Source organism: Homo sapiens, chromosome 15 (assembly GCF_000001405.40).
Source record: "Homo sapiens chromosome 15, GRCh38.p14 Primary Assembly".
NCBI classification, from domain to species: domain Eukaryota; kingdom Metazoa; phylum Chordata; class Mammalia; order Primates; family Hominidae; genus Homo; species Homo sapiens.
In genome coordinates this window covers 77,437,499-77,450,568 of record NC_000015.10, presented here as the reverse complement: position 1 = coordinate 77,450,568, position 13,070 = coordinate 77,437,499, and the positions used below count along the sequence as shown (strand labels likewise).

General features: G+C 38.3%; 1 protein-coding gene across 7 annotated transcripts in view; it reads right to left on the bottom strand.

Moving 5' to 3' along the window:
• Nucleotides 1-13,070, bottom strand: part of HMG20A (high mobility group 20A) — a 99,163-nt gene that overhangs the window by 69,482 nt on the left and 16,611 nt on the right. For 2 of the 7 annotated variants that reach the window (XM_047432109.1, NM_018200.4), the window contains exon 2: nt 2,758-2,850. The exons of the other annotated variants lie outside the window; for them this stretch is intronic. The gene's annotated coding sequence lies outside the window, so the exon portion shown is untranslated. The remainder of the gene's footprint in view (nt 1-2,757; nt 2,851-13,070) is intronic. 7 annotated transcript variants of the gene reach the window in all.

The window sequence follows — 13,070 nt, the reverse complement described above, 5'->3', positions numbered from 1 at the left end:
GGTAGCACATGAATTCTGAATCAGGAATAATGGTGATGCCAAACAATCACAGACTGTACATGTGGGTGGCTGAGTGACATCTTTGCTTTCTCATGGTTCAATGTATACAAACTTTGTTTCATACACAAAATAAATAAAATCATTGCTATAAAATTACCTTCAAGCCATGTGTAAGGTAAATGGATACACCATAAATGGATTTCCTGTTTAGACTTGGGTCTTATCCCCAACATATCTCATTATGTGTATGCAAATACTCAAATACAAAAAATTAGCCGGGTGTGGTGGTGGGCGCCTGTAGTCCTAGCTACTCGGGGAGGCTGAGGCAGGAGAATGGCGCGAACCCTGGAGGCAGAGCTTGCAGTGAGCCGAGATCGTGCCACTGCACTCCAGCCTGGGCGACAAAGCAAGACTCTGTCTCAAAAAAACAAATAAAAAAATAAATAAATAAAAAATAAATCTGAAAAGATCTGAAACCTGAAACACTTCTGGTCCCAGGCATTTTGGATAAGGGAAACTCAACCCATATGTTGTGAATCCATCCACCTATCTGACATCCTGGATAAGCAAAAGTATGGAGACAGTAAAAAGATTAGTGGTTGCCAGGGGAGTAGGATGAATAGGTGGAACACGGCATTTTTAGGGCAGTGAAACTTTCTACGTGATACAATGGTGGATACATGTCATTATAAATCTGTCAAAACTCACAGACTGTCCAACACCAAGAGTGATGGACACTATGTAAACTATGGTGATTATGTGTCAATATAGGTTCATTGATTGTAACAGATGTAGCATTCTGGTGCCAGGGATATTGATAGTTGGGGAGGCTGTGTGTGTGGGGGGACAGGGAATATATAGGAAGTCTCTGTATTTTCTGCTCATTTTTGTTGTGAATCTAAAAGCGCTCTAAAATATAACATTCATTCATTTTAAAATTGCCATATTATATATTTAGAATATTATAATTATGTATTTTATTATGCCAGAGAACTGGTATAAAGAGGTTTGGGAATAAACACAACTGACTTTGATATGCATACAATTTAACTGGAGGAAGGAAAAGAGGCTTACTAGAGAGTAGTCTACCAGCTGTGAACGTTTAGCTAAAAGCAATCAGTGGGCTGTGGACATTAATCAATATGTTTTACAGTGTGAATGAGAACACTGGCTAATCCTGCCAGGCAGTTAACTGGGGTTCAGTTAAGTGAAATTCAGTTAAAAACTCTTTCACCATAGGTTTTTATATGTGAGATGAGAGGGAAAAAGACGAGGAGAGAGAAGAGGCAATTTAGGAGTAATTAAGTACTTAGGTTTTAGGGGAGGGTTGAGGTAGGGAGAGGCAATTAGGGTCTAAACATAAGGCTTGCTGCTTCAAGAGAAGGGTATAAGGAGGGGTGTGTTTGGCTGGGCACTGGGGTGGGGGTGGACAGAAAATATGGCTCTCTAGACCTAAAATTGATAGTCCAGGCTCCTATGACTATTATTGATCTTTATTTTATTATTTATTTATTTATTTTTGAGACGAGCCTCACTCTGTTGCCCAGGCTGAAGTGCAGTGGCTTGATCTCTGCTTACTGCAACCCCTACCTCCTGGTTCAAGCAATTCTCGGCCTCAGCCTCCCGAGTGGCTGAGATTACAGGTGCCTGCCACCATGTCCAGCTAATTTTTTTTTTCCAGCTGGTCTTGAACTCCTGACCTTGTGATCCACCCACCTCGGCCTCCCAAAGTGCTGGGATTACAGGCGTGAGCCACCGCGCCCGGCCTTATTATTGATTTTTAAAATGTTGGTAGGCTACCCTAGGAACCAAACTATAGAGAAACTGATCCATTCATTCAACAAATATTATCTACTATCCTGGGCATTTTCTATGCATTGGGAATACAGCAATGACCAAAACAGGCAAAGATCCTTGCCCTTATAGAGCTCACAGTGTACTGGAACAGACAAAAAACAAGATAAAATAAGTAAAATGAATAATGATACATAGTTTGAAGTACCAAGAAAAAACAGGGCAGGGAAAGAGGTTAGGAACAGTTCAAGGAAATGGGGTGTCTGCAATTTTATATACAGAGGCCATGAAAGGCTTCACTGAGGTAATCTTTAGGAAAAGACCAGAAGGAGATGAAAGAACTATGCATGTATGTGGGGGAAAGAGTGGCCCTAGCAGAGGAAACAACTAGTGCAAAGAAGTCCCCCTGGTGTGACTGAGGAGGTGGCAAATGTGGCTGGACTGAACTAGTGGGAAAAGGAGATGAGGTCTGAAAGCTAACCGGGGCTACTGGAAGGTTTTCAGCAGATAAGGCATAAAATTTAACAAGTTTATAGGATCATTCTGGCTGCTATTTTAAGAACAGACTGAATGAAGGTGGAGAGGGAAAAGGGAAAGTAAGGAAATCATTTGGGAAGCGACTGCAACAAAACAGCTGGAAGAATTAGATCAGAATAGCAGTAGTAGAGATGGTGAGAAGTGGTCAGATTCTTAATATATTTTGAAGGTAAAGCTAGTTTCTAAGTTCAAAATAACTGGAAAAAACATCAGGACTAGAATCTATAAACTGTGGCCTGCATATACTTTAACTGTAGTCTTGTAATCAGTTTAGTAAAAAAGGGTGACTTGTACTAACAATATACTATTTGCAAATTTTTTGAAGCTAAATATAGCGGGGTTTTTTGGCCACAAAAGAAATAATCCAGGCTCCATCTAATGCAAATGCCTAGAGAGTTTATATTTCAACAAACATTTGTTGATCACCTTCATTATGTAACCAAGATGGTGTATGGTGTCAAGTGATGTGTAGCTTTGCTTTATAGAATTTTACAGTCCGTTATCTTCCTTGTAGAGACTCTGTTTTCGAAAAATAAAAAGGGAGAAAAAGAGGCCAGAGTTAGAAACAAAAATTAAACTTCTATCTTTATGATTTTTTTCTCCAAATTCCTTATGTGATGGTACATGTTTTTTTGAAGTAAAAATTTAGAAACTTAAATCAGATATCTTCTTAAAAACCACAGAAGTACTAGATCATCAAAAGAGACTGGCACAGTTCAGATTTCTTGCTAGACAATTGGATCACTGTATATGCCTTTTGCCCCCTCAATGGAACCTTGATGGAGAACTGTCAATATTAGGACGGAAAATGTGTTGTGAAGAAAAAAACTCCACAAAACCAAAACATCTAAGAATAGTATTTTGTATCAGTTTTTGTAAAGCACGGTGATAACGCAGGGAAAATAAAAAACACTTCCTCTTCCAAAGCAAAATTTGTCATTTTACAAGCAGAGTGTTGCCTTTTGAGGTCACAGTCCACCTCGTTGGCTTTTTCATGGTGCCTGTTGGTCCCAAGTTGCCCTTCCTACAGAGGCAATCTAAGCACTGCTTTTATTATTAGTAAACAAGGAGGTGATTGCCCAAGTAAGACAACTTCTGGACCAGTGCCTGAACTAAGAGTTAAAGTAATCCAATAAAACCTGGAATTATTTCCTTAGTGTAGAGTACTTCCCCTATTTCCTGGGACATGGGTGTACTATGAAACGGTAAAAAGGTGGGTCCATATAAGCTGGGATGGGGAATGCTGGTAAAGCCTTACTCCCTCTAGAAGGCCTGTGATATATGAAAAGGTGTTTTCAGTGACAGTCAATTTTCTATTTGGAGGAAAAAAACAAAAAACAAAACCAAGCTTGTTTTAAGTACACAAAGCACAAAAAGTTAATGTTCTTGTTTGGTAAAGACACATATGTATACTCTTTTTTTTTTTTTTTTGAGACGGAGTCTCGCTCTGTCACCCAGGCTGGAGTGCAGTGGCGTGATCTTGGCTCACTGCAAGCTCTGCCTCCAGGGTTCACGCCATTCTCCTGCCTCAGCCTCCTGAGTAGCTGGGACTACAGGTGCCCACCACCATGCCCGGCTAATTTTTTGTATTTTTAGTAGAGATGGGGTTTCACTGTATTAGCCAGGATGGTCTCGATCTCCTGACCTTGTGATCCACCCGCCTCGGCCTCCCAAAGTGCTGGGATTACAGGCGTGAGCCACCGCACCCAGCCACATATGTATACTTTTTACTCACATCTTGGTGATTCACATGCAGGGTATATCAGAAAAGGGAATTTATGTATTTATCAAGAGGAGACACGAGTTTTTTTTTTAAAGTTGAAAAACAATGTTTTTCAGTTTATCATATGTCACTATGTTAGGCATCAAAGATACAGAGGTAAATAAGATTTAAAAATCCCAACAACACTTATTATTTTACAGTTCATAATCTAGTAGGGGACGTGGAAAAAGGGTAATGGCTGATGTGTATAACGGTATTTATTCAAATATATGAGAAAAACAGAGAAAGAAGAATTGAATGGGTTAGGTAACCAGCTAAGGTAATTGTTAATTATCCTAATACATTCACAGATGCACTGGAGAGCTGAAGGAAACAGAAAACACCAGCTGAGAAAACACCTGAGAAGGACCACACAGCTCTGGGTCCTTACACGTTTGAAAATCCAGATTCATACTAAGGTAGGTAGCTCTAAAACAATATAATTCAAGGCTGGAGTCTGCGAAAAGCAACTCAATCAGCATAGACGGTAGTCCCCCCTTATCTGTGGTTCTGCTTTGCCAGTGTGTTAACTCATGGTCAACTGCAGTCCAAAAATATTAAATGGGAAGTTTCAGAAATAATTCATAAGTTTTAAGTTATACACTGTTCTGAGTAGTGTGATGAAATCCCATGCTGTCCTGCTCCATCCCACCCAGGATGTGAATCCTCCCCTTGTCCAGCATATCCATGCTGTATACACTGCCTGCCCATCAGTCACTTAGCAGCCTTCTAGGTTATTGGATCGACTGTCGCAGTATCGCAGGGCTGGTGTTATTTTACTTCACAACGGCCCCAAAGCAGAAGAGAAGTGAGGCTGCCAGTATGGATATGCCAAAGAGAAGCTGTAAAGTGCTTCTTTAAGTGAAAAGGTAAAAGTTCCCAACTTAACAAAAGGAAAAAAAAATCACAAATGCTGAGGTTGCTAAGACCTACAGTAAAGATAAATCTGTGAAATTGTGAAGAAGGAGAAATTCATGTGTACCATATGTATAGGATTTGTTACTATCCATGGTTTCGGGCATCCTACCGGGGGTCTTGGGATGTACCCCCATGGATAAAGGGGAACTACTGTATGAGAAAGCAGAAGTAACAAAGGTCCCTAGTATCTGAACCCAAACATAAAATTCATAGTTAACAATTCCAGGGAAAGGGTCCTTATTGGTTCAAGGAACACTGTTCCTCTATTTTCTTACATTTTACACAGCTCTTCAGCTCAAACCTGCAGCTGTGAGACAACGCTGAAGAGAGGAGGTAGAAAGAATGTTTCTTCCTTTTACAGGCAATAAATCCTAAATCGTTTACCCTCTCAAAAGCCAATGAAGACTGCAAGTAAAGGATGACATGTTTCAGAAGGAAAATTGAAGAACATTTATAAAAACTATAGTGTAATAAATGGAAACTAATCCCATCAAAGTGTTTTTCATTTTAATCAACTGACTTACAAATTAAATTTTCTTCCTAGGAAGATTTCCTAAAAGAAAAACAGAGGATGCTCGATAGCAGAGGAATTTCCTCAGCCAAAAGCTGAAGACAGAAAACTTTAGTTACAGGGAGGCAAAGCAGTTAGTGGTCTTTACTACTCTGAACAGTAAGATGAAATTTAGAGTTTTCTTCACAAGATGAATAGGCACAACTGTAACATGCTTTACAGTTTAAACAGAAATAAATTGAAAAACTCAGAATTATTTTGCTATATTTTGCCTTTGAAACCTAATAACAATGCTCAGGACTTCAGAAAGTTACACATAGCCATAGAATTCACATTTGACACATTTAAGCTCTACAAGACCAGTTTCCTAGGAACATTTCTCCTTTGATAACCTACTCAACATGATAAAACTTCAACTTCCATACACAGAGCCTCAGTTCTCACCCTACCATAGTAATTCAGAACAAGTGGTTAGATTTAATCTTTTTTGTTTAAAAGCTACTGATTGTTTCTTTTTTTCAAGGTGAAATAACAAAGAAAAAACAAGTTTAAAACTACATTAGCTGTAACTTTCATTATATCACTTCAAGATTCTTGGTGTTTAGAGCACTTACTAAAATCTGACAAAATCTGTATTTTCAGCATTGCCTAGTGCTGTTCAAGGGTTCACTTAGCCCAGGAAGGAAGGACTAAGTCCAGGGAATAAGAATCTACAGAACGATTTGTTTTGTTCTTTCAACATTAAATGCACTCATTTGCCTGTGTTAGCAAGTACTTCTGTCATGAACAGAAGTCTACCACAGTACCAAGTAGAGGCGTTATATGAGCATCTGCTTCAATACCCTTATATGTAAAATGGGGCTAAAACTTATTCTATTTACCTCAAAGGGCTACCGTGAGGATCAAATATTTCTTTACAAGCTCTGCATACAATAAAAGAATGTGAAAGCTATTTTAAAAATTATATTACAAAGTTATCAATGAAACATTTATGAGAAAGTATATGGATTATAAGTATATTAAAAGAATAGATACAGGTCGGGCATGTTGGCTCACACTTGTAATCCCAACACTTTGGGAGGCTGAGGCAGGTGAATTGCTTGATCTTAGGAATTTGAGACCAGCCGGGGCAACATGGCGAAACCCCATCTCTACCAAAAATACAAAAATTATCTGGGCATGGGGGCACGCGCCTGTGATCCCAGCTAGTAGGGAGGCTGGGCTGAGGTGGGAAGATTGCTGGAGCCCAGGAAGTTGAGGCTGCAGTGAGCCATTATCGTGCCACTGCACTCCAGCCTAGGTGACACAGTGAGACCCTGTCGTAATAATAATAATAATAAATAAATACATAAGAAAAAAGATTGGAAGGAAATACATCAAAATATTCAAAGTATTGGGAAGCAGAGATGGGTGGATCACTTGAGGTCAGGAGTTCAAGACGAGCCTGGCCAACATGGTGAAACCCTGTCTCTACTGAAAATACAAAAATTAGCCAGGCATGGTGGTGGGCGCCTGTAATCCCAGCTACTCCAGAGGCTGAGGCAGGAGAATAGCTTGAACCCAGGAGGTGGATGTTGCAGTGAGGTGAGATCGTGCCACTGCACTCCAGTCTGGGTGACAGAGTGAGACCCTAACTTAATAATAATAATAATAATAATAATAATAATCATCATCATCATCATCATCATCATCATAAAAAATAGATATATAAGAACAAAGATTGGAAGGAAACACATCAAAATGTTCAAAGTGTTGGGAGGCCGAGGTGGGCAGATCACTTAAAGTCAGGAGTTCAAAACCAGCCTGGACAACATGGTGAAACCCTGTCTCTACTAAAAATACAAAAATTAGCCCGGTATGGTGGCAGGAGCCTATAATCCCAGCTACTCTGGAGGCTGAGGAAGGAGAATCGCTTAAACCTGGGAGGTGGAGGTTGCAGTGATGAGGGATCACACCACTGCACTCCAGCCTGGGTTACAGAGCGAGATTCTGTCTCAAAAAAAAAAAAAAAAAAAAAAAGTTCAAAGTAGTTATGTCAGGGTGGTGAAATTATGAATAATTACTTTCCAATCTTTGTTTTAAACTCAACCTTCAGCAGTATGGTTTTGTTACTTTAAAGAAAGAGGAAAAGTGCCATCAAGGATCACAGATGTTTTAAAATTAAATTTTAATTTCACATGCAATACTTAGTTTCTTTTTTGTAAAAAAAATATGGCTACACGTAGAGCTAAAATTCCCTTTTTGCCAGACTCTCCATACTCCCCTTTCCAGAAAAACACCATTAGAAGGATTTCTAAGTCCAGCCTGAGTGACAGAGCAAGACTCCATCTCAAAAACAAACAAACAAGGAGTTTCTAGCTTATTGCTGAAAGATGCCTTAAAGATAGTTGCTAATGATATATTCTTTCTCTCTCTCATCAGAATTAGGACTATAGGGCAGAGAAGAGTACGCATGTCTAGCAGGGAGAGTAAGGGCACAATTTATAAACCTCATGCTTTATATTAAAAATTCCCTTAAATTCTGCAGTCAGTTTTATAAAGCAGTATTTATTTTAACACAAGAATTAATGTTTTAAATTGCACGAGGCCAGGACAAGGATCATGTAGCCTCAAAACAGTATTTCCCCATGAGTGCAATAACACACAGCACAGATTCAGTTCATTTTCTTGACAGATAACTGACATATTTTGATACTGAGGGGAAAAAAGTGTTGTGACTTCCTTATTGAATATCTCCACTATATAGCAATATATTGAGAAGTTCTAACTCAATTTATGTCCTATTAACTTTCCAGATAAGTTACATGAAAATACACTGAAATTATCAAACAAGAATACCATTTAATTATGGGAAAACAGACCAGGAAAATGAGCTCAGCATTTCCTTAAGAGGTTTAACTCTGAAAATTACAATATATCTGAGGTTGTTATATGTACATTCTTATGTCACTGGCAGGAAAAGTAACAAGCTTTTGGTAAGTTGTTGTTTTACTTCTTGCCAATATACCTTAAGATAAACCTAAAATGTAATGTGTTTGATTCATCTCTAATTCCACTGGCATCTCTGTGCCTTCAGAAATTGGACTCTAAATTGCCTTACACGAAAAAGAAAAGTTATTGGTACTCTCAAGCTCATCATTACAATATTTTTCCACAGAAGCTTCTCTGGAGGCATTTATTCTTACTAGAAACTCTGTCCAAATATTTAATTTGGCCCTGGGTGTTTAGTAACATTAGAATATTTAAAAGACAAAGTTGATAAATTACAATCAAGATGTAGTAATGTGAGCTATGAGGGAAAAAAAGCTTAACTGTGATTTCTACAACAAATTCACTCAAAATTTGGAGACAAAAAGCATCTCAAATATTTGATAAAGGATGATATGCTGCATAAACTACAAGGAGACAACCTGAGGCAGTAGGAAGAGCTCTGAATCGAAGTCAGGAAATCTGACTTTGAGTTCAGGATATACTACCAACTAACTGGTTTCTGGGATCACTAAATGACTCTGGCTCAAGTTTTTTCACCTGTTCATGAAGAACAAAATCAACTTCAAATTTGTTTAGCTGTCAGACTACATAGAATACTGAGAAACAGTATATTTAATTATATGAACTAGAAACACTAACAAACTAGCAGAAAATAGGAATATATTAAAAATTCAATATAAAATCACAACCATAAACATATATGTACACAAACAAACACAGAGTTCTCTAAGCATGGTATGCACTTCTGAATTCTGTTCATATTTATTTGCTATCTGGGAGGGAGTCTCAGTTTATACTGAGGGCTCTGGAGTCAGACTGCCTAGATTCCAATCTCATCTTTTACGTATTAGCTGTGGAACTTGGGCAAGCTAGTCAAAAGCTCCAAACCAAGGTTTTCTTATCCTATAAATGAGAAGAGTAATAGTACATACTATATAGAAGTTATCTCAAGAAGTAATCTGTGTAAATAAAGCAGGTAGTATGGTGTCATCATATAGTAAGAGCCTAATAACAATAATGATAGCAATAATTGCAGCAAGAATTTATTGCTTACTAAGTACCAGGCACTATTTTAAGAGCTATACGTGTATGATACCACTTAATCCACACATCTGCCGTATCAAGTAGATATTATCATTAGCACCTATTTTATAGTGAACAAACTGATCCACAGAGGGGTTAAGTAACTTACAAATGTTTACTGTGATAGTCACTATGGCTATTCAAAAATATTTAGATCTCCTTTCAGAAACATAAGAGGAAACTTCCTCACTGCCTCAGAGAAGACACAAGGACCATGTAACTCATGGGCAATGAAAGTGAGTGACATATGATTCTTCTGGGCAGAAAATCTGAGTCTATAAGCAATTTGCCATGTTTCCTTCCCCTGAATACAGTGACTGTGGAAGTATATATTATAATGTAGTTTACATCCGCCTGGTTGTCTAAGTGACCACAAATAGCATAGCCCCATGTTGACTCACTTTGGACAAATAGCATAAGTGAGAAAAGAAAGCCACTGAGATTTTGTGGTTGTTTATTACCACAGCAATATAAATAGCAATAACCTAGCCTATCCTAACTGACACCTTCTCAGTTAATAAATTTCAGATTTAAGTAACATCATTATCTACTTATTTATAGTTAATACCCAAGGTTTCAAAATAAATTATGGGAGAAAACAGTACATTTCTATCCATTTACTTCTTTTTGTGTGTGTAAACCAACAAAAGTTCACTATTATCTAGTTTAATACCACAATTTAAGAATTGTTGGTCTAAATGTCTTCATGATCTTAGGCTAGGCAAAGATTTCTTAAAGAGGACAAAGCACTAACCACATTAGAGAAAAGTGACAAATTGGAGTTCACTATAGTTAAGAATGTCTGTTCATCAGAAGATCATGTTAAAGGAGTAAAAAGGCAAGCCACAGACTGGGAAATTATATTTGTAATACATATATTCCCTAAAGACTCATATTTAGAATATACGAAGAACTCCTAAATATCACTAAGATTAAAAATAAATGACCCATTTTTTTAAAAAAGGGGGCTAAATACAAAGCAAGCACTTCATAAAGAGACTATCCAAATGATCAATAGCTATAGAAAAAGAGACAGTATTATATACCCACCAGAATGGCTAAAATAAAAAAAAATGACAATACACAGTGGTAGCAAGGATGGAGAGGAACTGAAATTCTCTGACGGTGCTACTGGGAATCTAAATGGGGACAATCATTTTGGAAAACTATTTAGCAATATCTGTTAAAATACACCTATCCTATGAACCAGCAACTCCATTCCTAGTAATATATCATAGAGAAATGAGTGTATATAACCAACAGAAGACATGTATGCGAATGTTCATAGCAGCTTTTTAAATAATAGCCTCAAAGTGGAACCAACCCATGTGTCCATCAACAGTAGCATGGATATGTTATGATATAGTCCTACAATGAAATCAGTGGAATACTATACAGATTGAACTACTGCTACATGCAACATGGATGAATTTCATAGATATAATGATGAGCCAAGAAGCCAGACCCACGAGAATAAATATTCTATGAATATATTTATATGAAGCTCAATAACAAGTAAAACAACCGTATAGTGACAGAAATCAGAATAGTGGTTATCTCTCGTGGGGAGAGAGAAGGTAATGACTGAAGAGCCTCCTAGAGTGACGAAAATATTCACAGGCACATATATATCTATGTAAAAATTCATTGATTTTTGTACTTTACTGTATGTACCACAGTTTTAAAAAGTAAAAGAAAAAAAGCAGCATTGGTTAAGATGAGAATTCCAAGATTAGAAGGTCCCACAAAGATCACTGAGTCCAATCATACAACCAAGGCTCAGCCCCCAACCTGAAAGCCTCTCTTGGGAATGTCTACTTCCACTTCTCAATAGCTCTGACAATTGTAAAGTTATTCTTTATAATGAACTCCAAACCTACGGACGGGCGTGGTGACTCACGCCTGTAATCCCAGCACTTTGGGAGGCTGAGGCAGGTGGATCACGAGGTAAGGAGATCGAGACTATCCTGGCTAACACGGTGATACCCCGTCTCTACTAAAAAAATACAAAAAAATTAGCCGGGCGTGGTGACAGGTGCCTGCAGTCCCAGCTACTCGGGAGGCTGAGGCAGGAGAATGGTGTGAACCAGGGAGGCGGAGCTTGCAGTGAGCCGAGATCACGCCACTGCACTCCAGCCTGGGTGACAGAGGAGACTCCGTCTCAAAAAAAAAAGAAACTTGAAAACATTTTCTCTTGAAATGAAATTTATCTGGTTTAAAATTGGTAGTAAACAGGCATTTTTTCAAGGGTTTTGGGAAATGCTAGTAGCCTGAAAGCTGTTTCAAATTGTTGTGCTTATAATTTTCTACCAAACGTACAATTAAGCATCTTATTGTATTAAAACCAGCTTCAAAAACAATAATTAAAAACTACATCTAAGATGGAGAAAGCAAACCCAAGCTATATAAGAAAATGCAGAGTATCTTGTAATATCAAATCATAATAGATGTGTATAACCTATAAAACACGTGAATACATTAATATTGTGAAATATGGTCATTTTTTGCTTTATTCTGATTATTCTGATTAAAAGACATGTCATATACTTACTGTGGTTGCATTATGGCATATTTATGTGACTAAAATAGTTAATAATATTTACAAACAATATTGTAAATCTCAGGAGTAACCAAATGCGATTAGACTAACTTTTCTTTGTAGGGCCCTTATGTATTTTTTTAAAATTGCAGTTTGGCTGGGTCCAGTCGCTCACACCTGTAATCCCAGCTCTTTGGGAGGCCAAGGTGGGAGGATCGCTTGAGCCCAGGAGTTTGAGACCAGCCTGGGCAACATAGCCAGATCCTGTCTCTAAAAAAAAAAAAAAAAAAAAAAAATTAAAACTAAAAACCTAGCTTGGTGTGGTGGTATGAGCTTGCAGTCCAAGCTACTTGGGAGGCTGAGGCGGGAGGATCACTTTTGCCTAGGAGTTCAAGGCTGCAGTGAGTTATCATGCCACTGCACTCCAGCTTGGGCCACAGAGCCAGATCTTGTCTCAAAAAAACGAACAAAATTGCAGTTCTAGAAAAGAAGACAAAGTTATTTAGTCAAGACTGCTATTGAGAACTCTCTATCTTTACTTTTAAAGAGTTTCAACTTAGGGCTGCGCACAGTGGCTCACACATGTAATCCCAACACTTTGGGAGGCCGAGGCAGGGAGATCATCTGAGGTCAGGAGTTCAAGACCAGCCTGGCCAACATGGTGAAACCCCATCTCTACTAGAAAAATACAAACATTAGTCAGGTGTGGTGGCGCATGCCTGTAATCCCAGCTACTCAGGAGGCTGAGGCAGGAGAATCGCTTGAACCCAGGAGGCAGAGGTTGCTGTGAGCTGAGATCACGCCACCGCACTCCAGCCTGGGCAACAAGAGTGAAACTCCGTCTCAAAAAACAAAAAAAAAGTTTCAATCTAAAAAATGTGGGTAGGTGTATTCCTCTGTGGGGGCTTAAATAAAATCTGCACACACTGCCAATT